Source organism: Homo sapiens, chromosome 4 (assembly GCF_000001405.40).
Source record: "Homo sapiens chromosome 4, GRCh38.p14 Primary Assembly".
NCBI classification, from domain to species: Eukaryota; Metazoa; Chordata; class Mammalia; order Primates; family Hominidae; genus Homo; species Homo sapiens.
The window spans coordinates 13,586,067-13,611,438 of record NC_000004.12 but is presented as its reverse complement, the minus strand read 5'-3'; the positions used below and the strand labels follow the sequence as shown (position 1 = coordinate 13,611,438).

Below are 25,372 nucleotides of genomic sequence, written 5' to 3'. Positions count from 1 at the left end.
AAGCAGAGCTCTCAGAACCTCTCCTGGTTCCAACGCCTGAGTCATGAATCATTCTTTGCTCCAGAAAACTCTGTTACATTTAATTTGTCTGAAATTTTCCTTTTAATAGCATAAGTAACTATAATGTCTAATTTTTCTTTGTCTTATTTATGTGTGAGAAGCTGATAAGAAATAAAAATATGAATTATAGCTTTTAAAAGTCAATTTCTGAAATCTTCACATCCTGATATTTCCCCTTTTGGACCTCCAATTCATCTTGCCTTTACTGCTTGTACAGCATAATGTTGATTTTATGCTAATTCACAGACATACTCCTCTTTCTATTAACTTTCTTACAGATGAAGAGAAGAACAAACAGAATAAAACAAAAACTCAAACTAGTGATTCTAGTGAAGGAAAAACAAAAAGTGTACGGCATGCGTATGTCCACAAACCATATCTTTACTCAAAATACTATAGTGATTCTGATGATGAGCTTACTGTAGAACAACGACGACAGTCCATTGTAAGTCCAGTTTGTTCTGTTATTTTAACCTACTACATCAGGTTAACAAACTTAAATAGTCTATCTGCAAGGTACTGATGTGCATATGAAGCAGAGACATACAGGATTTGCCTTCAGGAAACTTGTCATTTAACTAGGTAGAGTAGATGTAAACATGTGACAGAGATGTTTGTGTCATCATTACTAATACAAGTGAATATCCCTTATCCGAAATGGGTGGGACCAGAGGTGTTTCAAATTTTGGAATTTTTCACAATTTGGAATATTCGCATATACATAGTGACAAATCTTAGGGATGGAATGCAAGTCTAAACATGAAATTCCTTTGTGTTTCTTATATGTATATGCACATAGCCTGAAGAGTATTCGATACAATGTTTTTCATAATTTGGTGCATGAAACAAAGTTTTGACTGCATTTTGACTGCCACCTGTCACATGAAGTCAGGTGTGGAACTTTCCACTTGTGACAGCATGTCAGTGCTCAAAGAGTTAAGATTTTCAGATGAGGGATGCTCAACCTGTAGTAGTGAAACTGGTAACAACCTGAGTGCTTCACAGTATGGAAATGTTTAAATCAAGTGTAGATCCAGTCCTGCAAAAATACAGTATGCAGCTATTAACATACTATTGATATGGAAATGCTATTTACCTATTTCTTGGATTCAAAAATATTTCCAATTATAAAATGTACCACTGAATTAATAACAGCTTTTTAAAGAAAATTACTACCTTATTGTTACATATGTATATTGGTTTTAAGATAGCTTACAATTTCAGAAACATTAAAATATGAAAAGTTGTAAAATATGAAAAGTTCAGAATCAGGAAATATTGTCACATAGGAAAATGATTTGAAGAAACTACCCCAAAATGCTAGTAGTGATTAGCCTTCCCTTCAGGCTTATCTTTTGAAAACATTACTTGGTTAGAAGTTATGCACCTGCTTAGGATTTTTGGCACTCTGAGCCAGAAAGAGATAGTAGGAATAGCACAATGACTGTGAATTCTTTCTGCTGTAAAAGACCTGCAAGTCCTGAGTCCCTTGGGTCCCAAGCATATAACCAGCAAGTCATATATGTTGTAGAACTAGCCTATCACTTGAATTTTTATTTCAACTGTTTTCTATAAGAACAGTTGAAAAGTTATAAACACCTACCTATATATACTTGATGTTCATAGATATTTTCACAGCTATCATTTTAATTGAAACAACCAGCTTATTTAATCACTTTTCCCCAAAATTATACCTTTCCCTTTCTTTAATGGCATTCTTAAAGAGTAATGGCAAATTTTCACATCTGTTTCTTCTATTCTGGTAGCTTCTAGATTGAAACATACACATACATATGTATGTATACACACAGAGATAAATGTGTGTATATATATGTAGTGTATGTGCATTTTTTCAGAGCCCGTTAATTTGTAAGAACATCTGAAGGGTAAACTAAAACTTTAAAAAAAATACAATTTTTCAGTGTGTTTTTGCCTTTGCCTAATAATCTGTTAGGGTATTTTGTGGTTTTAGGCCAAAGAAAAAGAAGAGAGGCTTTTAAGAAGGCAAATCAATAGAGAAAAACTTGAAGAAAAACGAAAACAGAAAGCAGAAAAGACAAAGTCTTCAAAAACCAAGGGTCAAGGTATAGATGTCAACTTTTAATATTTTAAACTATCTCATATATTTCATTATTTTCTGGGTACTCTTATATTACTTATGAGACATGAATATAAAATAAAATGATCTAGTCTCAAATGTGGAAGATTTCCTTACGTTTTAATCTCATGTGTTTCATCATTTTTCTTTTTTATTAAATTGCTAAATCTAAATTAAACATTTTACCAGAAACCAGCTTATGCAACTCATTTGTTAGCAGTATATTTTTCTGTAATGATTGAATCACTGGAAAGTAGATTGTTAACACATGAGTTATCAACCCTTGCTGGTGATTAATGAAATTAATCTATGCTTATGTTAACTAAAATGTCAAACATTTCCCTGTAATATTGTGTTGAACAAAATTGTATTCCCTCTGGGCACTAATCCTATGTAATATATGAAATCACACATACACACACTTATGTGATCATTTGAAATAAGAGAGATAAGACTTCTTCATCCAAAATATTATATCTATTCCAGCACAACTTAAGAATATTAAAGCCATTTTGGCTTTAACAATGATTAGAAAAATCTTAATGAAAAATTAATATTACATTGTTTGTAAAACTTTTCTGAAATACGTTTTATTGATTGCTTCTTTTCTAGGCAGGAGTAGTGTGGACTTAGAAGAATCATCAACAAAGAGTTTGGAACCTAAAGCCGCCAGAATTAAAGAAGTCCTTAAAGAACGGAAAGTTTTAGAAAAAAAAGTAGCCTTAAGCAAAAAGAGAAAAAAAGATTCAAGGTACATATTTTATCTGGTCATGTTTCCCTTATAACACTCCCCTGGGTGCTTTCAGAAGAGAGGAATTGAAGTGACAGTAAAGAGTTGTACTTTGGTTGTGTATGTTACTGCATGTTTATGAAGGACCTTAGGGTTTCATATTTAGTATCAAAATGTTAATATCTATAACATTTCTAAGTAGTGTATCCTAATCTTTTTGGGCGTCCCAGATCTTTTTGATAATTTGGTGAGAGCTTTAGACCCTCTCCCCTGAAAAATGTACATGCATAAGCTAACAATTATCCCTAGACTTTAAGAGTTTATGAATCCTCTAGAAGTTCCCTGGAGGTATTCCTCTTGTTGGTGTTCAGTAACCACTTATTTTCAATTATTATTTCCAGTCTTTCCATGCCGTTATTTTTACCAGTATTCCATGATTCTCCCCCAACCCAGAATCTGGGCCAGATTCCTTATTAACCCTGCATTATCATCGTTAACTTTTTAAGAATTAGAAAGCTAAAGAGACTCTTGAGGGTAGCTATGAAGTCATGTGAGCCATGGGCTGCAATTTTGCTATTCCATCAAGTTGCATTTATGTAAATTTATCACAGACTTCAGGATAACTGATTTGATAATTTGCAGAACTTGGTAAGAGTAGTAAGCTCTCAAATTTCTTACTATTATTACCTCTCATCCTTATTGATCTGAATAAATAAGACTGCCCTCTTTACTCAAAAGATAGTAATTTTGAAGTGTAATTATAGCCCATAAAGCATTCATCTTTAAGCAACAAATTAGGAATTTTTGTTTCAGCTGTACTTTCCTTTAGCACCAAGAACAGTTAATGCTATGTTTGGGATTGTGCTCTCCTTTGTTGACCAATAATTGATAGGATTTAAATTGAAATGTAACAAGTCTGCATTTGTCGATCAAGTGTATAAATTATAGTAAACAGCTGGGCGCGGTGGCTCACGCCTTTAATCCCAGCACTTCGGGAGGCAGAGGCGGGTGGAACACATGAGGTCAGGAGTTTGAGACCAGCCTGACCAACATGGTGAAACCCTGTCTCTACTAAAAATACAAAATTAGCCAGGCATTGTGGCGTATGCCTGTAATCCCAGCTACTTGGGAGGCTGAGGCAGGAGAATTACTTGAACTCAGGAGCGGAGATTGCAGTAAGCCAAGATTGCGTGATTGCACTCCAGCCTGGGCAACAAGAGCAAGACTCCACCTCAAAAAATAATAATAATAAAATAAGATAAATAAAAATTATAGTAAAGGAAAGATTTTTATTGTTTTCAACCTTCCTGAAAAATTTTCGTATTTGATTCATGCTTTATATTTGACTCTTTCCCCCTTAGGAATGTTGAAGAGAACTCCAAAAAGAAACAGCAATATGAAGAAGATTCCAAAGAAACCCTTAAAACAAGTGAGGTATGCCTTAATAAAACCTCATTTCAAATGCTGTTTTGTTAGATATAGGCTGTTTATTCCTTTGGAGTAAAACTTAGAATGTAATTTGACTTTTTTCAAGTCAAATAAAAAGTCAACTTACATTCAGCATTTTTGAAACCCCATTTTGTTATGTCCCAAATTGCCCATTTTGTTGAGTTGATTTATATATTTGTCGTTTATCTAGGTAATAGCTACTCTTCTTCTCTTTTCCCATTTCTTATAATTGCAATAACAAAAATGCCAGTAATGACAAAAAAAGAAAAAGGGAGGCTAAAATTAAAATCTAAAATCCCTCCACTATAACAAATTATCCTTTTTATTCCCTCTCATTCCTTATCCACGGGTCCACATAATTTTTTAGAGTACAAGTAATCTGGCAAACTGTTTTTAACATTTTACTCATTTCATGTTACCTTCTAGGCATCCTAATTATTTAATGATTGTCTAGTGTTACATATAATGTACATACCATAATTTATTTAAGCATGTCCTTATATTTTAGCGCTTAGGTTGTTTCCAAGATTTGATCATTTTAAACAGTAAAAGTAACGTACAATGTTTTCTTCCCCCTTTCAGGATTATTTTCGTGGGACAAACTTTTGCTTTCACTGTTTTAAAATTCTTTTTTACAAAAACCACATTATCTGTAGTTCTGTAGCTAAACTATCTTAATATTTCCAGAGGGAAAAAGCAATGTTAGTGATTATTTGTTCATCATCAGCAAACATAAATTTAATTTATTTACTCAGAAATTAAAGGCGTATTTAGAAGTATATAGTGATGGCTTAATGACATATTTTTAAATATTTAACTTTCTTTTATGATAATTCTCTATAAGAAATTATCTCATAAAATAGTATTCACATTGCTTAGAATTAGTTTTTTATTGTGAAGTTGATGCAAACTCCTGTTAGTTCTTTGAGGAATTTTATTTTAAGCTATTTAATAAGGTCTTGTTATGTCCTGGACCCTGTTATTAGTAGAAGTACATTAATCTTTGTGTTGACATTTAAGGAGATGAAGTGTTAAACTGACCTAGAGGCACAAAGGTCCGTCTGAACTTTGGCCCATTATTTGCATAAGAATAATTATAGCTAGTAGTCAGTGAGTATTATTGAAGTGGATTTAGTCAACCTCCACTCATTAATATTAATCGCCTACTTAGTGCCAAACCACAGGGCCAGAAGGAAGGTTTAGATGCTCTTGTCTCTCCGTATCTTTTTTTGAATACATAAACATATACATATGTTATATATGATATGGTTACTGTGCGTTATTGTGTACATTTGAAGCTTCATGTGTAGAATATTGTACAAGTAGCCTAAATTCATGAGGTTTCCATACATAATTCAGCTTTTTAAATTAAAATATAGGAAATCTATATTTCAGTATATTTCAATTTTAAATTGCCTTCATGTATTATGTTTTTGACTGAAAAGGACATTTGACTGTCATTTATTCAGCTCATATTTATTATTGAGTACTGGGCATTAGTGAGTTCTAGTGATTCAGAATTGAAGAATTCATAGACAAATCAGTGCCTGTGATATACTGGAAGGAGTACTAGACTCGGAATGAAATAATCTAAACTCATTCCTAACACACCTACTTGTGGTCTGAGTGTCAAGTTATAGAATCATGCTGAGCTACAATTTCCTGATGTTTTAATGGCATATTTTTAAGTATTTAACTTTATTTTGTGATAAATCTCTATGAGAAATAATCTCATAAAATTGTTCATATTGTTTAGAATTAGTTTTTTTATTGTAAAATATGGTTGTTGCAAACTCCTGTTAGTTCTTTGAAGAATTTAGCTTCTTAAAATCAAGTTAATAATACTTATTTTTTAAAATCAGGTGAGTTTTTGACACCTACACAGGCTGTTTGTAAGAATTAAGTGAGATGTTACATATGTGACAGCACTCAACATATTAAATCCACCCAAATGTTATGTTTTAATCTAAAAATTGATTTTGGTATTTCTCATATTTTAACCTTTGTTTTCTTTCAGCATTGTGAAAAGGAAAAAATTTCTTCTTCAAAGGAGCTGAAGCATGTTCATGCAAAAAGTGAACCAAGTAAACCTGCCCGGAGACTTTCAGAGTCTTTGCATGTAGTTGACGAAAACAAAAATGAATCCAAATTAGAAAGAGAACATAAAAGACGGACATCTACCCCTGTTATCATGGAGGGGGTACAGGAAGAGACTGACACAAGAGATGTAAAAAGGCAAGTAGAACGCTCAGAAATTTGCACCGAAGAGCCCCAGAAACAGAAAAGCACACTTAAAAACGAAAAGCATCTAAAGAAAGATGATTCTGAAACACCACATTTGAAAAGCCTACTTAAGAAAGAGGTGAAATCCTCCAAGGAGAAGCCTGAAAGAGAGAAAACTCCATCGGAAGACAAATTGTCTGTGAAACATAAATATAAAGGTGATTGTATGCATAAAACAGGTGATGAGACTGAGCTTCACTCTTCTGAGAAAGGTTTAAAAGTAGAGGAAAATATTCAAAAGCAAAGTCAACAAACAAAGCTTTCTTCAGATGATAAAACCGAACGAAAAAGTAAACATAGGAATGAAAGGAAATTATCAGTATTAGGCAAAGATGGAAAGCCAGTTTCTGAATATATTATAAAAACAGATGAGAATGTTCGTAAAGAAAACAACAAAAAAGAGAGACGCTTGTCAGCTGAAAAAACTAAGGCAGAGCACAAATCAAGAAGGTCAAGTGATTCTAAAATTCAGAAAGATTCTCTGGGTTCCAAGCAACATGGTATCACATTACAGAGAAGAAGTGAAAGTTATTCGGAAGATAAGTGTGATATGGACTCCACTAACATGGATAGTAATTTGAAACCAGAAGAGGTTGTTCACAAGGAGAAACGACGAACAAAGAGCTTGTTAGAAGAGAAACTTGTGTTGAAGTCTAAATCAAAAACTCAAGGCAAACAGGTAAAAGTTGTAGAAACAGAATTACAAGAAGGTGCCACAAAACAGGCAACCACTCCAAAACCAGACAAGGAGAAGAACACAGAAGAAAATGACTCAGAAAAACAGCGTAAGTCTAAAGTTGAAGACAAACCTTTTGAAGAAACTGGTGTTGAACCTGTATTAGAGACTGCTTCTTCTTCAGCACATAGTACACAGAAGGATTCTAGTCATAGAGCCAAGTTACCATTAGCAAAGGAGAAATATAAGAGTGATAAAGACTCCACTTCCACCAGGCTTGAGAGAAAGTTGTCAGATGGCCACAAAAGCAGAAGCTTAAAGCATAGTAGTAAAGACATAAAAAAGAAGGACGAAAATAAATCAGATGACAAGGATGGTAAAGAAGTTGACAGTAGTCATGAAAAGGCCAGAGGTAATAGTTCACTCATGGAAAAGAAATTAAGTAGAAGGTTGTGCGAAAATCGGAGAGGAAGCTTGTCACAAGAAATGGCCAAAGGAGAAGAAAAATTAGCAGCAAACACTTTGAGCACTCCCAGCGGTTCCTCCCTTCAGAGACCAAAAAAGAGTGGTGATATGACATTGATCCCTGAACAAGAGCCAATGGAAATTGATTCTGAGCCAGGTGTTGAAAATGTGTTTGAAGTATCTAAAACCCAAGACAACCGCAATAATAATTCTCAGCAAGACATTGACTCTGAAAATATGAAACAAAAAACTTCTGCCACTGTTCAAAAGGATGAATTGAGAACTTGCACAGCAGATTCAAAAGCAACAGCTCCAGCTTATAAGCCAGGCCGTGGAACAGGAGTTAATAGTAATTCTGAAAAGCATGCCGATCATAGAAGCACCTTGACCAAGAAAATGCATATACAAAGTGCTGTGTCCAAAATGAACCCTGGGGAGAAAGAACCCATTCATAGAGGAACTACTGAAGTGAATATAGATTCTGAAACTGTTCATAGAATGTTACTGAGTGCCCCATCAGAAAATGATAGGGTACAGAAGAATTTGAAAAACACAGCTGCTGAAGAACATGTTGCTCAAGGAGATGCCACTCTTGAACATTCCACAAATTTAGACTCCTCACCATCCTTAAGTTCAGTGACTGTTGTGCCTCTGAGGGAATCGTATGATCCAGATGTAATTCCTCTGTTTGACAAAAGAACTGTTTTGGAAGGTAGCACAGCCAGCACCTCCCCTGCGGATCACTCTGCTCTCCCTAACCAAAGTCTGACTGTTAGGGAATCAGAAGTCCTTAAGACAAGTGACAGCAAAGAAGGTGGTGAAGGTTTCACAGTAGATACACCAGCAAAAGCAAGCATCACTAGCAAAAGACACATTCCAGAAGCTCACCAGGCTACTTTATTGGATGGTAAACAAGGAAAGGTAATCATGCCTCTTGGAAGTAAGTTAACGGGCGTGATTGTGGAAAATGAGAATATTACCAAAGAAGGTGGCTTAGTGGACATGGCCAAGAAAGAAAATGACTTAAATGCAGAGCCCAATTTAAAGCAGACAATTAAAGCAACAGTAGAGAATGGCAAGAAGGATGGCATTGCTGTTGATCATGTTGTAGGCCTGAATACAGAAAAATATGCTGAAACTGTCAAACTTAAGCATAAAAGAAGCCCAGGTAAAGTAAAAGACATATCAATTGATGTTGAAAGAAGGAATGAAAACAGTGAGGTAGACACCAGTGCTGGAAGTGGCTCTGCACCCTCTGTTTTACACCAAAGGAACGGACAAACTGAGGATGTGGCAACTGGGCCTAGGAGAGCAGAAAAGACTTCTGTTGCCACTAGTACTGAAGGGAAGGACAAAGATGTCACCTTAAGTCCAGTGAAGGCTGGGCCTGCCACAACCACTTCTTCAGAAACAAGACAAAGTGAGGTGGCTTTGCCTTGCACCAGCATTGAGGCAGATGAAGGCCTCATAATAGGAACACATTCCAGAAATAATCCTCTTCATGTTGGTGCAGAAGCCAGTGAATGCACTGTTTTTGCTGCAGCTGAAGAAGGTGGGGCTGTTGTCACAGAGGGATTTGCTGAAAGTGAAACCTTCCTCACAAGCACTAAGGAAGGGGAAAGTGGGGAGTGTGCTGTGGCTGAATCTGAGGACAGAGCAGCAGACCTACTGGCTGTGCATGCAGTTAAAATCGAAGCCAATGTAAATAGCGTTGTGACAGAGGAAAAGGATGATGCTGTAACCAGTGCAGGCTCTGAAGAAAAATGTGATGGTTCTTTAAGTAGAGACTCAGAAATAGTTGAAGGAACTATTACTTTTATTAGTGAAGTTGAAAGTGATGGAGCAGTTACAAGTGCTGGAACAGAGATAAGAGCAGGATCTATAAGCAGTGAAGAGGTGGATGGCTCCCAGGGAAATATGATGAGAATGGGTCCCAAAAAAGAAACAGAGGGCACTGTGACATGTACAGGAGCAGAAGGCAGAAGTGATAACTTTGTGATCTGCTCAGTAACTGGAGCAGGGCCCCGGGAGGAACGCATGGTTACAGGTGCAGGTGTTGTCCTGGGAGATAATGATGCACCACCAGGAACAAGTGCCAGCCAAGAAGGAGATGGTTCTGTGAATGATGGTACAGAAGGTGAGAGTGCAGTCACCAGCACGGGGATAACAGAAGATGGAGAGGGGCCAGCAAGTTGCACAGGTTCAGAAGATAGCAGCGAAGGCTTTGCTATAAGTTCTGAATCGGAAGAAAATGGAGAGAGTGCAATGGACAGCACAGTGGCCAAAGAAGGCACTAATGTACCATTAGTTGCTGCTGGTCCTTGTGATGATGAAGGCATTGTGACTAGCACAGGCGCAAAAGAGGAAGACGAGGAAGGGGAGGATGTTGTGACTAGTACTGGAAGAGGAAATGAAATTGGGCATGCTTCAACTTGTACAGGGTTAGGAGAAGAAAGTGAAGGGGTCTTGATTTGTGAAAGTGCAGAAGGGGACAGTCAGATTGGTACTGTGGTAGAGCATGTGGAAGCTGAGGCTGGAGCTGCCATCATGAATGCAAATGAAAATAATGTTGACAGCATGAGTGGCACAGAGAAAGGAAGTAAAGACACAGATATCTGCTCCAGTGCAAAAGGGATTGTAGAAAGCAGTGTGACCAGTGCAGTCTCAGGAAAGGATGAAGTGACACCAGTTCCAGGAGGTTGTGAGGGTCCTATGACTAGTGCTGCATCTGATCAAAGTGACAGTCAGCTCGAAAAAGTTGAAGATACCACTATTTCCACTGGCCTGGTCGGGGGTAGTTACGATGTTCTTGTATCTGGTGAAGTCCCAGAATGTGAAGTTGCTCACACATCACCAAGTGAAAAAGAAGATGAGGACATCATCACCTCTGTAGAAAATGAAGAGTGTGATGGTCTCATGGCAACTACAGCCAGTGGTGATATTACCAACCAGAATAGCTTAGCAGGGGGTAAAAATCAAGGCAAAGTTTTGATTATTTCCACCAGTACCACAAATGATTACACCCCTCAGGTAAGCGCAATTACAGATGTGGAAGGAGGTCTCTCAGATGCTCTGAGAACTGAAGAAAATATGGAAGGTACCAGAGTAACCACAGAAGAATTTGAGGCCCCCATGCCCAGTGCAGTCTCAGGAGATGACAGCCAACTCACTGCCAGCAGAAGTGAAGAGAAAGATGAGTGTGCCATGATTTCCACAAGCATAGGGGAAGAATTCGAATTGCCTATCTCCAGTGCAACAACCATCAAGTGTGCTGAAAGTCTTCAGCCGGTTGCTGCAGCAGTGGAAGAAAGGGCTACAGGTCCAGTCTTGATAAGCACCGCCGACTTTGAGGGGCCTATGCCCAGTGCGCCCCCAGAAGCTGAAAGTCCTCTTGCCTCAACCAGCAAGGAGGAGAAGGATGAATGTGCTCTCATTTCCACTAGCATAGCAGAAGAATGTGAGGCTTCTGTTTCCGGTGTAGTTGTTGAAAGTGAAAATGAGCGAGCTGGCACAGTCATGGAAGAAAAAGACGGGAGTGGCATCATCTCTACGAGCTCGGTGGAAGACTGTGAGGGCCCAGTGTCCAGTGCTGTCCCTCAAGAGGAAGGCGACCCCTCAGTCACACCAGCGGAAGAGATGGGTGACACCGCCATGATTTCCACAAGCACCTCTGAAGGGTGTGAAGCAGTCATGATTGGTGCTGTCCTCCAGGATGAAGATCGGCTCACCATCACAAGAGTAGAAGACTTGAGCGATGCTGCCATCATCTCCACCAGCACAGCAGAATGTATGCCAATTTCCGCCAGCATTGACAGACATGAAGAGAATCAGCTGACTGCAGACAACCCAGAAGGGAACGGTGACCTGTCAGCCACAGAAGTGAGCAAGCACAAGGTCCCCATGCCCAGCCTAATTGCTGAGAATAACTGTCGGTGTCCTGGGCCAGTCAGGGGAGGCAAAGAACCGGGTCCCGTGTTGGCAGTGAGCACCGAGGAGGGGCACAACGGGCCATCAGTCCACAAGCCCTCTGCAGGGCAAGGCCATCCAAGTGCTGTTTGTGCGGAAAAAGAAGAGAAGCATGGCAAGGAGTGCCCCGAAATAGGACCATTTGCAGGAAGAGGACAGAAAGAGAGCACTTTACACCTCATAAATGCAGAAGAGAAGAATGTATTGTTGAACTCCCTTCAGAAAGAAGATAAGAGCCCAGAGACAGGGACAGCAGGGGGCAGTAGCACAGCAAGTTATTCAGCAGGAAGGGGCTTAGAGGGGAATGCTAACTCACCTGCCCACCTGAGAGGACCAGAACAGACGTCTGGGCAGACGGCTAAGGATCCCTCTGTCAGCATTCGCTATTTGGCAGCAGTAAACACCGGTGCTATAAAAGCTGATGACATGCCACCTGTTCAAGGGACCGTGGCTGAGCATTCCTTTCTTCCTGCTGAGCAGCAGGGGTCTGAAGACAACTTGAAAACCAGTACCACCAAATGTATTACTGGCCAAGAATCAAAAATTGCTCCTTCCCACACAATGATCCCTCCAGCTACTTACAGTGTAGCTCTGTTGGCTCCTAAATGTGAGCAGGACTTGACTATAAAGAATGATTATAGTGGCAAATGGACTGATCAAGCATCTGCTGAGAAAACAGGAGATGATAACAGCACAAGGAAATCATTCCCTGAGGAAGGAGACATAATGGTTACTGTGTCTTCTGAAGAAAATGTGTGTGACATAGGTGAGAATCTGTACCTAATTGCAAATTTTAATATTTACAAGGATGATTGTACAACAGAGTGCATTTAGGACAGTCTTCCAAAAGATGGTTTTGGTTCCAGAAAGATAAAATATCTATAAATTTTTTTCTCATATCATAATGTTGCAAAATAACTCTCATCAAACTTGAAGGTCAAACTTCTCTAAAAGCTACTTGTGTTTAAAAGTTTAAAGCCTTTGGCCCATTTCTCATGTGTGGGGAGAGAAAAAGCAGGAGGCTGAGGCATGGGAAGTCCACATGTTATTTACATGACTGCTGCAACTTACTAAACCTTTTTGACCTACAGGTTTTTTGTCAATCAAAAAGAAGAATACCCTACCACAACCCAATGAAAGCAATACATTTTTTTTTTACCACCCTCATTTTACAAACGAGGAAATAGGGTCAGAAAATTTAAATAGCATTCATGGTCCTCGGGTGACTTTTAGAGGAAAAATCAGTTTCTGAGCCTCCATTTCTTGTTGTATAAAATGGGGATAATAAGACGGGATGATAATACAAAGGCAAACACGATTCCAACCCTCATCTGATCATAGGTTTGCAGTATTTGTTTGTTCAGTCTGTTAGTTCCTTTGAATCAAAGGAGCATGTTATTTTTAACTGAGCTTATTTTTCAGGTGAAATGAGTTTCTAGTTTAGAATATATTTGAAAGTGAAAAGAAACATTTTTCCCTGCTGACAGATTTTGGACAGTGCTGGTCTTTTAGAAATAGTTAATAACTTTCAAAGATATTATCTCAGTCATGCCTTATACCGTCCAACTTCAGATACTTTATACCAGTCCAGATTGGAGAAAAGTGGACAGTGACACTTTAAAGCATGACAATTGCATAGACTGGGATTAAGCACAGGATGCTGTAGGAACAAAAGGGTCCTCATGGGCTGGACTTGAAGGGACAGAGGAATTCTTTTCCACTCTGGCTATATAAATTGTAGCATCCTGGACTTTTAACTGAAATAGACCTTAGCCATCATCTAACCCAGTCTCAGGAAGCTGAGGCTAATAGATTTAGTCTTGTTCATTATAGAGACTTAGGAGACTTTAAGAAATGCTCCAAGGGTTGAAACAAGTAACTTTACAAGTTTCTGTTGAATTTAGCCTGGAGTAAATTGAATGCTCCAGAAGTTTTTATGACTCAATCATTGCTACAATTACTCATTCCTCCTTTTTTCCTGAAGAAGTGAAAATAGAAGGGTTTCCACAGAAGCTTCTACACAATCTAAAGAAGGATATAAGAGGCAAGACCAGAGTAGAACTGAATCTCTGCACCTGAGAAAATTTTTTCTTTTTGTCTACCTCACAGTTTAACTTTGTGTTCAATTTTTCTGTGTTCAGTGTGAAGCAAGTAAAGTGAATCTGTTAATAAATCACCTTTACTGAGAATAGACCTTAGTGACTCAGAATATTTTTAAGGACAAACTTGATGGAGATCACTGCAGAAAAATACTTGGAAATGAAGATGTCTCCACAGATAATACTTTTGTCATTCTTTCTGGGCAGTTATCTTACTGTGCAAATAAGAATTTCACTCACCCAAAATGAGCAAATAATCCCTGCCTTTCATCCAGATTCTTTTATACAACATATTCCTTTTGATCATTTTCTACTGACAGCAAAATAAACCAGAAAAGGAAGGTGCAACAGCATGTCAGATAACCACATTCCATTACTTTTTGACCCCAGATGTATTTTGCAAGCAAATTCTTAAACTGTACTAAATGGCTTGAATTTTATTAGGCAATGAAGAGTCTCCATTGAATGTTTTGGGAGGATTGAAACTGAAAGCCAACTTGAAAATGGAGGTATGGCTTATAATTCAGCTGTGCTGAACTGTAAGTGATTAAATACTGTTTCATCACATATACACATATATATACTTATGTGGTATATAGGTCCTGTTCTCATTGTACTTATGATATTTAGTGTTGTTATTGCCATATCCTGTGGGGGGAAAGCTAAGAACCTCAGTAATCTTAGTAAATAGTGCTATCATCAGTTCATTTACTCAAGCCAGAAACACAAGAGTCACCCTCAGTTTCTCCGTCATCCCACATTTAATCTATCGCCATTTCTTACAGGTTCCATTTCCAAAATATAACATGAGTCCATCTATTTCTGTTTCTACAGTCATCACCCTAGGCTAAGCCACTACTTCAGTAGCCTCTCCATTAGGCTTAGTTCACTCCAGCCCTCCTCCAGTGTGATTCACACAGTCCTGCAGGTAGTCATTAGAAACATAACTTAGGCCCTGTCATTGCTCTGCTTAAAATTTGTGGTGGCTTCCCATCATGCTTAGAATAAAATCTGCTTTTTTTTTTTTAAGCATGGCTTTGGTGCTTTACACAATTTAGTCTCCATATCCTCTTTCTAGCCTGATCTGAAGGCACCATCCAAGTATATGTGACAAAACAGCAGTGAACATGGGGGTTATGAACACTACAGAGGAAACACAACTTGCCCAATAGTAGCAATAGGCAGGTAGACAGGAGGGCTTGCAAGGAGGACACTGGAATAGAATTTTGAAAGTAGAGTGGAAATTTCCCAGAAAAGAAAGAAAAGAGCCTTCCAAGCAAAGAGAATGTTGTGTTCTAGACTCAGAGACAGGAGGGCACGTGGTGTGTCTCAGGCGCTGCAGTGGTTCACGGTGAGCTGTGATGAGACTTGAGCCTGGAAGGGAGTGGGAGCCCATCAGGAAGAGTCTTGTGTGGTGTGCTGAGTTGGGGTTTTTACCTTTAAAGCAATAGAATACCCATTGATGGATGAAATACGAGATTAAATTGATTTTTTACTTGGCTTTGTTTTTAAAGGTTGATGTATTTATTTTTAAGTTTTGTGTACTCTTGAAAATAGGCTTTTATATTGTTTCAGGATGCTGGGTTTTTTTTTGTTTAATTCACTTGAGGTTAGTCTTCTTGTAAAAACCCTGGTTAACTTATTTTTATGGTGCTTTGGATTTTTTAGGCTTATGTGCCTTCAGAGGAAGAGAAAAATGGTGAAATTCTGGCACCACCAGAAAGTCTGTGTGGGGGAAAGCCAAGTGGAATAGGTGAGCTCTTTAGAATGGTTGTTCACATTGTTTTTGTTTTTGCCTTGCATGTGGTTTTACCTTTCTAAAAATCAATAGCTGATGCATAGTAACATACAGGCTCTATTAACTTGCCTCTCACTTTTTAAAATAGATTAGGGAGAATTCTTTACTATTTTATTTTTAACATACACTTTTCCTCATGAAATGTCAATCAACATTATGTAGGGTAATTGTTTAAATCTGATTACCCCCAAATAATAATGCAAAACGAAAGTTGTTTTGGAGCAAACTCTTGCTCTATCCCAGAAATGTTTCTCCATACCCCTGCCTGTCCCCAGATGCTATTGCAGCTTACTTCCAAAAGGCTAGTCTGAGGATAAGGGCCCACTTTACACCATTTGCTCTTGTCTCTTGCTCAGGCTTTTCCCCAGTGGCTGCACAGATACTGCTCTCAGCTTGTATAACCTCATCTCAGTCTCTCTGTGCAACATTCTTCACTGTGGACTACAGATTTTAAGGGAGATCCTCAATATCAGAAAGGATAAAGGCAGGAGCTCTTAAACGTTTTGGTCTCAAGGACCAAAAATTACTGAAAAATTACCGAAGACCCCAAAGAGATTTTGTTATATGGCTTATACCTGTTGACATTTGCCAAATAAGAAATTAAAATTGAGAAAAGTAAATATTAAGTCACTATTAATTCAATATAATTAACTCACTATAAGTTAACAACTCTTTTTTCATGAAAAATGGCTAGATTTTCCAAAAAACCCAATTAAGTGATAAAAGTGACATTGTTTTGCATTTTTGCAAATCCCTTTAAGTCTGGCTTAATAAAAAACAGCTATTTCTCGTATCTGTTTTCACATTCAGTCCTGTTGCTGTTTATTGTTTTGATTAAAGTAAATGAAGAAAATCCAACATTACAGATAGACGGTTGGGTTTTTGTTTTTTGTTTTGTTTTATTTTGTTTTGTTTTGTTTGAGATGGAGTCTCACTCTGTTTGCCAGGTTGGAGTACAGTGGCGTGATCTCGGCTCACTGCAACCTCTGACTCCCTGGTTCAAGCTATCCTCCTGCCTCAGCTTCCTGAGTAGCTGGGATTACAGGCACACACCACCATGCCCAGCTAATTTTTGTATTTTTAGTAGAGATGGGGTTTCACCATATTGGCCAGGATGGTCTCGATCTCCTGACCTCGTGATCCGCCCGCCTTGGCCTCCCAAAGTGCTGAGGTTACATGCATGAGCCACTGAAAGCCACTGCGCTCGGCCAATGGTTGGGTTTTAGTAGCCTTTTCAGATAATTATGGGTACATCTTAGCCTCTGGAAAATTCCATTGAGCACTCATGAGTCTGTAAGACAAATAATGTTAGTTTGGCCCTTGTGGATTCCTTGATGGAAAGCCTCAGGAATTCCCCAGAGAGGCTGGACCATACTGGCTTAAGGAAATGGAAATGAGAAGAACTGTGACAGTGAGGAATTATTTCTAATTTGTATTACAAACATGATTGTGTATTTTCTTCTGTTTCCCACAATATTTTTTTCTAAGTACTAGGAACTATAGAGTATGTGACCAAATTTAAGCCAGTCCTCAATTTTTTTCCACAATGTTAAAATGTCCATGCAAGTCAGGTGGAGTAAACAGTCAGGGTGATTTTTGTTGTAAATACTTATAACAAAAAACTCTATAGGCATTTGCTTAAAGGGACTTTATTAGCTCACAAAACTGAAAAATTCAGGTAAAGCATAATCCAAGAGGATGCAGATAGCTCCAAAGACACATCTAGTAGAAACTCCATTTTATGTCTTCTTCCTCATCCCCTGAATAAGGGTCATTGCTTTCTCATTCATAGCCTCTACTTTTAGCTTTGGCTTACCATTCCTGGCCAAAAACCTGAGACTTATTCTGATTTAGCATAAGTACATGTGTCCACCCTAAACGAATTACTGTGACCAGAGGAATGTAGCTTACTAGTTGACTTAAGTCAGGTGCTGTGTTCCTGGATCCACATGGTATTCCAGACCACAGTCTGGGCTCTTGGGAAAGGTGCCAGGAGGGCAACTGTAATGTCTACTGTAGTTGGATTGGCTCTTTAAATTATTTCCCTGACAAACATCAAGTCTGCTACCTGTGAGTACTAGGGAAATCAACATGGAAATGACTGATGGAAGTAAGTCATTCACTGAAATCAACGTGCAAATAAGTAAGGTACTATAATAAAGATACGTACTTGACTGTGGGAGTCAGCTTCCCTGAGGTAGGGCCTCAGGGAAGACTTGTGTTGGCTCAATCAATCTCTTCCCCCACCCCATCTTCTTTAATTATAGAAAGTAAAATATACAGAAATGCATAAAAAGTTTCCCACTCCCTATGAGTAACCACCTTCAGTACAATAAAATTATATTTATATTGTTATAGAATTTTTTTTCACTCGATCATGTATTGCAGGCACCCATCATTACTTTATTAGCATATACAGATCCACTTTCTTTGTTTTAATAGCTAAATAATCATCCCTAATACCAATTTTAGGTCTTTTAATGGCCTCGGGGTTTCTACTGTTACAGGGCTGCAACGAACTTTCATAATGCATATCACTACATGTGTTTTACCAAGTATTTTCATAAAATTGGATTGGGGGAGGGAGGGTCAAAGAATATACAGGTTAAGTATCCCTAATCCAAAAGGCTTGGGGTCAGAAGTATTTCGAATTTCAGATTTCTTAGGGTTTGGGAATATGTGCATTATACCTCATTGAGCATCCCGTATCTAAAAATTCAAAGTCAAACTTCCAGTGAGCCTTTCCTTTGAGAGTCATGTTGGTACTCAGAGAATTTCAGATTTTGGAGCATTTCAGATTTCTCATTTTTGAATTTGGGATGCTCAACCTGTATACGTTTTGAATTTTTATAAGTACTTGTTACTCATTTGAGGCTAAATATTGAATAATGAGTAGGTATGCATTAAGTGTACAAGGCAAAGAGAAGGGCAGTAGATGTGGAATGATTCAGATTAAGTGAATAGTGCATATAAATCCTCACCCATGACTATCTGGGGAGGTTTGGGGAGTGGGAGCAGTTGAGGACCTTCTTACACAAAACCATCTGAAAGGGTCTCAGAAGACTCGTAAGAAGTGTCAGCCAGTCCTGGAAGACCACACCAAGACTTGGTAAGTCATTTATACTGACATGTTAAAACCCTGAAGATGACTAATCTATTCAAAACTTGGAAAGATACATTAATTAAAATGTGCATGGGTGTTTTATACTACAAATAATTAACGTCTCATTTGTTAATTGTCAAGAAGCTAACATTTTTGGATTCTGAAGTCCGTTGTTCCCACAGTTATATTTCAGATAACTTTACTGTGTTTAGGTACAGTTCAGTAAGAGATCTACTTACGTAAAAGGAAGTTGTTTAAAAGAAAAATGTGTGTTCTGTCATTGTTGAGTAGAAACAGTAGACTTTGTACTTCATGTTTCCAAAGCATATAAACAGACCATTGCTGTTGGAGGGGATAGGATCTAACTTTTCATTTGACGCTATTATTTTAAATGAACCAGTGTTATACTGCAGCTTAACAGCTACATTAAGGTCTTTTACTTTTTTTCTAAGCTTCAGATCACCAACATAGTTAAATCACCATAGTGATGTAATATACCACTGCCGTTATTATAAAAAATGCAGGCAACATTAATTTATGTTGTCTTTTTCTGGTAGTATATTCTGGTAGTACAACATGGATTGATTGTGGGAAATAACTGGTCAGATTTTTATAATTTATGAAAGCAGCTAAGCCACTTGGTGACATAGGATAGGTTCCCTATCCTAAAAATCTTCAAATTTGTTTCTCTGCATTTCAGAAACAATATTCAGTTTCTTTACATCTCATTTTTATTTTTGAACAGCTGAACTCCAGAGGGAGCCTTTGTTGGTGAATGAATCACTAAATGTAAGTCACTGTAATGGTTTTGATTTTTGTGGTTATTGGGTTTTTTAATTTTATTTTTTTGGAGAGCTATTGAGGAGGAGCCATCTGAAGGGGTTGCCTGTGTATTTCTGTAGTAGCCAGGAGGCATTTGGTAGTGTACTCTTCATTTGAGTTCAGCATCCTGACAGCAGCTTTCACTAGCTCTTTTCCATGTTCACCTATACCCACTGATAAAGAACTTTGAACTTTCTATTGTTTATTATTATAACGGGATTGAAAATTAGATTTTGATGTCTTAAATCATCCTGGTGCTATAGACAAAATAGATTTTAGTTTGAGAATTAAATTTCACTTTATGTTTTTAGAAAGCTTTTCTCAAGATACTAACCTGTAACTGCTATGTGTACATATTTTTTCCCAGATGTGGCTCTCATAATCCCGTTCATTCTTGAAAGAGTCTTGTTTTTGGTCTTTCTGTCTTAATGTATTTATAAGGAACCTTGTATTGTACCAGGAGTGAACATTTTATAAAATGTTTCCAAATGTGCAGACAACTGCATTCTTTCCAATGCTCCTAGAGGAATTGGGGTACTATCAGTGAACCGCGGGATCAGAGTACTTCCTCATCAAGCACTCTGTTTTGTAGCTAGAAACTCATACACCATATGCTGAATAAGAAGAAAGAGAAAAGCACCACTTGGTGTGGTTCAAGTTTGCCATCCAAGAGTTAAAAAGATTATGGCTGGGCACAGTGGCATGGCCTATAGTCCCAGCTACTGAGGAAGTTGAGGTGGGAGGATCATTTGAGCCCAGGAGTTTGGGTCCAGCCTGGGCAACATAGCATAATTTTTTATTTAAAAAAAAAATTTTTTTTTTAATAAAATACACTTTAAAATTTAAAAAGACTTTAAATGGGGTTGGAGCTTACCGAGCCAGCTGGCATGTTCTCCATCCTACCTCAGTCCCTTGAGTCCACCAGCAGCTGTCTTTTCCCCAGTCGAGCATAAATGTCCTTTCCAAATTTGTGCAAAAGTCTGTAGCTAGGACTTAGGATATTATAGGATATTCTGAGCCTTTCCCCTCAGTTTAAAAAAAGAAAAACAGTAGAATTGATAAGATTTGCCAAATAGGAAATCTTATTACAGAATCCTATAGAGTTTTTAAATAAAGAAAAAAGAAAATCATGCAGGATTTGGATGGGAAGGGAAATTTATGGAATTCAGAAAATTTTTCTCTTATTTATTCTTACTCTTTTGCCATTGGCTGCTTTAAGGACAGGCAGAATAAGCACAATAATTTGTTAAACTGAAATTTTTTCAAAAAGAAGATGCTGCATGCTTTTGAGCTTCTGGGTGAAATTAAAAAGAATATGTACCCCAATTCCTTTTGGCATTTGTACAAATAGCCAGGTTATGTAAATTACCTTCTCTCTTCTTTCTTTTTGCCTTTAAATTTTTGTGAGACTATCCATAAATATCTTTTATATTGTATATTTAGGTTGAAAATTCAGGCTTCAGAACAAATGAAGAAATTCATAGCGAATCTTATAACAAAGGAGGTAAGTTAATGAATTTCATAGTTATAGTTTTAATATTATAGTTAACATTTATTGAGTGTGGTCTGTATACCAGGCCTTGTGTTAATTATTTTACATACTTTCTCTCATTTAATTCATAAAAATTCAGTAAAGTGATAGTTAACAGCATCAGGAGTATAGTTGAGGAGAACGAGTCTTAGGCCAGGTGACTTATTCCAAGCCATACAGCTTAAAAGTGATGTCTTGCTTTAAATAGCTACTAGAACTTTGCCATTAATCTCCCAGTTGACTCAATCCAACATAAATACAAAACGAATAGCCCCCTGTGGATTGCAAGTACCCAACTGTGAAATGTGTTAACTTCTGACAGGCAGTTTAGGATGGTAGCATATCAAGGATGTCACATTTATGTGGGTCTTCTCCCAGGGGTGAGGTCTGGTGGCCACACAACCCGTGCAGGCTGCCAACTCTGAACAGAAAATTCCCTTCTCAAACAGAACATAGAATTTTCTTGATGCCTACTAATTTTGTTAATTTCCTATTATAGGAGTGGGGAGAGAGGCTTATTTACTTAGACAGTTATTTTTATAATGTATACCATATTTCAAACAAAAGTAAAGCAGTAATAAACACCTATGTGCCCCCAACCTAGTTTTGCCCTATCTTACAATTTAGTATATTTGCTTCACATACCTTTTAAAAAATGTTAACAGTTATGGTGGAATCCCCATTTACCCCTTCCCAATCCCAATCTCTTTCCTTTTAATCCCACTCCAAAAGGAACCACTATTCTGCATTAATTATATATAGGTCCATAAACAATATGTAACCTATGTTGCCTGCTTTAGGTAAATATGTGGTCTCACGTTACATAAACCCTCCCCACCTTATTTGCTCATTCAGCAGCGTTCTAAGATTTTGTTCTGTTGATTTATATTAACTCTAATTATTTTAATTGCTTTTGAATATACCACAGTTAGTATTTTTTGCTTCATTTGTACATTATTTTGCACATGTAGGTATTTTGAAACTTTTCCCAATTACAAAGAATGCTACTGTGTATGTTCTCATACCTTTCCCAGTGCTTATGTAGTGTACTTGTAATTCTGGGTATGGAATTGCTCAGTTATAGGCACCTCTTCAACTTTACTGCATGTGCTAAATTGACCCCAAGTGGTGTACCAGTTGTCACTCCACACCATCTGCCATATTTGGTATTGTTTGGTGACTGTTTGTTAGCCTGATGATTATGATGCAATGATTCATTATTTTCAGTGATGCTTCTTAATACTGTGTTGCTACACAAACTGGGGGGAAGGGCCTTGAAGTCTTCTGTGTAAAGTCCAGTGTTGTTACCCCAGACATGTTACTGACCTTCTTGAACCCCATTCCCTCACATCTACAAGTGGAAAAAAGAGAATTTAACTGACAGAGTTGTGTGGAGGATCCCATCAAAAATCATTTGTGACTATCTACCACAATGCCCTGTATATAACTGGTACTCAATAAAGTTACTAACTCAGTTTTCTCCCAGCCCCCTAACACATACCTAAGTAAGTATTGGAATATAAAAATATTTAAGATTTTTTTTTCTTTTTTGTATTTATTACTCAGAGATATCCAGTGGTAGAAAAGACAACGCAGAAGCCATAAGCGGTCACAGTGTTGAAGCAGATCCTAAAGAGGTGCATTTTAATAAACTCAAGTGTTTGATATTTTATACATAATATTTTCACTGTACACAAAGAAGGGCTTTAGAAAGGCTTTATTTCTTTGTATAAATTAAATATTAAATGGGTATACTGAGAGTTCCACATGTCACTTTTACCTGTATATGCCCTTTCAATGTTTAGGCAATTTGGCAGTTCCCAGGACTGTTTGGAAGTGCCCACGTTGTACAGTCAGAATGGTTTTTCATGCACCTTTCATCAACCATAAGAAGTCCATTTTTAATAAGCCACTAAGACAGTAGAAAAATACTAATTGTGATGTGCCATCAGTTGTAAGATATATATAGCTTGACTTCAGAAATGGTGAAATGATAAATAATTTTTTTAAATGCGTTTTAGAATTATTGAAATATAGTATGTAGCTAGAAACAGCATGTGTTGTATGAATTTGCATTCAAACCCAGAAAAGAGACTGAAGTTTACAAAATTAGTCTAATCCAAATCTAAATATCAAGTGTTCTAGATTTTTTTTTCTTTTTTTTTTTTTTTTTGAAACAGTCTCCCCCTGTTGCACGGGCTGGAGTGCAGTGGTGTGAACGCTTCTCACTGCAAGCTCCGCCTCCGGGGTTCACGCCATTCTCCTGCCTCAGCCTCACAAGCAGCTGGGACTACAGGCACCCGCCACCACGCCCAGCTAATTTTTTTCTGTATTTTTAGTAGAGACGGGGTTTCACCGTGTTAGCCAGGTTGGTCTTGATCTCCTGACCTCGTGATCCGCCCACCTGGGCCTCCCAAAGTGCTGGGATTACAGGTGTGAGCCACTGCACCCGGCCAAGTGTTCTAGATTTTTAAAAAATTTATATATCAACTTATTCCAAAGGTTAGAATCTAGTACAGTGTGCTCCTCTTTCAGTTTATTTGAATCAAGATTCTATGGCCTTTGATATAGTCATTCTTAATTCCAGGTTGAAGAGGAAGAAAGGCATATGCCTAAAAGAAAAAGAAAGCAGCATTATCTCTCTTCAGAAGATGAACCAGGTATTTATATTTATGTTTCTGTTTTAGACATCTTTGAAAATCATTATTTTTATATCCAAAAGAGTGAGCCAAAAACATAGAGAATTTTTGAGGATAGTAACTCTCTACTTTACAAGTCTTGAGGCTAATTTGTTTCTAGACTGGCTTGATACCTCCGGAGTCCTTTCTGGACCCCAATCTAGAAACTAGATTGCTTCCTGCAGAAGACCCAACCGCTGGATCTCAGACAAAGACAGGCTCTCTCTGGAACCACACCCTGGAGCCCAGCCAGGTGCCACTACAGTCTGTATTTTATATCATAAGCAGATACCCTACAGAGCTAGTGAAGCACTTTAGTCCAAAAGTGCCTCTAACACCCATTCTGTGCTTCATACTGTTGATTTTCTCATGGTCTGTAACGGTGCCCTCTAGTAGAACTACAGTGATAGAAGTCTTGTACATTTATTTTGTCTAATACAGAAGCTACTAGCCACATGTCACTATTGAGCACTTGAAAGTGGTCAGTGGAAATGAAAGACTGAATTTTTAATTGTTTTTTAATTATTTTATATTTCAGTAGCCAGATGTGGTTAGTGACTATCATGTTGAACAGTGCAGTGACCTTTAATACTTGACACAAAGGAGAAGTTCAATACTTATTGAATGACTACATGAGAAAGAATGAGTGAAGAATGAAATATTTATATTTTATATTATTTGGTAGCAATTTAATGAGTTCCTGATGTATTCAGGTACTATCCATGGTACATTATACACATTCCCATTTAATCTTTACAATAAACCTGTAAGTTAGGTGGTGTTGTCATCTTATAGATAAAGAGATTAAGGTTCTGAAAAATTACGACTTTATCTTCACCACATAAATCTGATTCCAAAGCCCATGGTCTCAATTACTAAGCTATACCTCTTAGGTGGTAACTCATTTAGAAAGTTAAAGTATCTCTGGAAACTATACGCTAAGCCCTTCCCATAGAACCCACTACTTCATTGGTGTCATGTGAACATATGGGGATTTTTGTATTTTGTTTTATTTTTACTTTGCCAGGGCGAAAGGCAAGTGTTCAGTGCTCAAATCACATGATATTATAAATATAGAGTAACTTTTGGCTTCTCTGTATCACAGGCCTAAGAAAGAAGGCTCAAACAGTCTTAAAATAGAACTATGCATTTCATTTTTCATTTAGCTTTTGTTCCTTTGTGATTCTGTCTAAACTGATTTACAGATGATAATCCAGATGTCCTGGATTCCAGAATAGAAACAGCACAAAGGCAGTGTCCTGAAACGGAGCCACATGACACAAAGGTATTTTTTCCACATATTAGTTTTAAGTTTTGGGTGGGGGTAGGGAGGCCTAATTACAGCATTGTAAATACTTAGTATAATATTTTTTTCATTTTACTATCCCTCTTTAAATGTCTCTAATAATAATCACTTTATTATAAAAGGTGTCTATTTTTTAGTCTCCTCCCAAAAATCAAATGTTGCACTTTATAATTCTTAAACTGCAAGATCGTGTTAATTATTACAATTTAGATATAACATTGCTTAGGTTTTTGTTCAGTAGTAGTATTGATTTCTTGAGGTTTCTAAATGCTTTCTTCCAAAAGTATAATGTGCTTTATCACAGATAT

The 25,372-nt window shown here is 37.5% G+C and overlaps 1 protein-coding gene across 10 annotated transcripts in view, besides 3 other annotated features; it reads left to right on the top strand.

The window, feature by feature from the left end:
* Positions 1-25,372, top strand: part of BOD1L1 (biorientation of chromosomes in cell division 1 like 1) — a 58,988-nt gene that overhangs the window by 16,287 nt on the left and 17,329 nt on the right. For all 10 annotated transcript variants that reach the window (XM_017008010.2, XM_005248151.4, XM_017008009.2 and 7 more), the window contains 12 exons: positions 339-505; positions 2,033-2,144; positions 2,771-2,909; positions 4,250-4,322; positions 6,355-12,493; positions 14,271-14,335; positions 15,495-15,579; positions 19,473-19,516; positions 20,993-21,053; positions 22,647-22,717; positions 23,668-23,740; positions 24,964-25,043. In XM_017008010.2, the coding sequence (XP_016863499.1) occupies positions 339-505; positions 2,033-2,144; positions 2,771-2,909; positions 4,250-4,322; positions 6,355-12,493; positions 14,271-14,335; positions 15,495-15,579; positions 19,473-19,516; positions 20,993-21,053; positions 22,647-22,717; positions 23,668-23,740; positions 24,964-25,043 (7,109 nt within the window). The remainder of the gene's footprint in view (positions 1-338; positions 506-2,032; positions 2,145-2,770; positions 2,910-4,249; positions 4,323-6,354; positions 12,494-14,270; positions 14,336-15,494; positions 15,580-19,472; positions 19,517-20,992; positions 21,054-22,646; positions 22,718-23,667; positions 23,741-24,963; positions 25,044-25,372) is intronic.
* Positions 10,114-10,183: an enhancer, noted in NCBI's record as "active region_21326". NCBI's record gives its function as "activates an Ori minimal core promoter by ATAC-STARR-seq in GM12878 lymphoblastoid cells {active_cell/tissue: GM12878}" and the evidence as "EXISTENCE:reporter gene assay evidence [ECO:0000049][PMID:35858748]".
* Positions 11,276-11,776: an enhancer, noted in NCBI's record as "H3K4me1 hESC enhancer chr4:13601287-13601787 (GRCh37/hg19 assembly coordinates)". NCBI's record gives its function as "activates a minimal SCP1, AML or CMV promoter by ChIP-STARR-seq in naive and primed H9 embryonic stem cells {active_cell/tissue: H9 hESC(naive and primed)}" and the evidence as "EXISTENCE:reporter gene assay evidence [ECO:0000049][PMID:30033119]".
* Positions 11,777-12,277: an enhancer, noted in NCBI's record as "H3K4me1 hESC enhancer chr4:13600786-13601286 (GRCh37/hg19 assembly coordinates)". NCBI's record gives its function as "activates a minimal SCP1, AML or CMV promoter by ChIP-STARR-seq in naive H9 embryonic stem cells {active_cell/tissue: H9 hESC(naive)}" and the evidence as "EXISTENCE:reporter gene assay evidence [ECO:0000049][PMID:30033119]".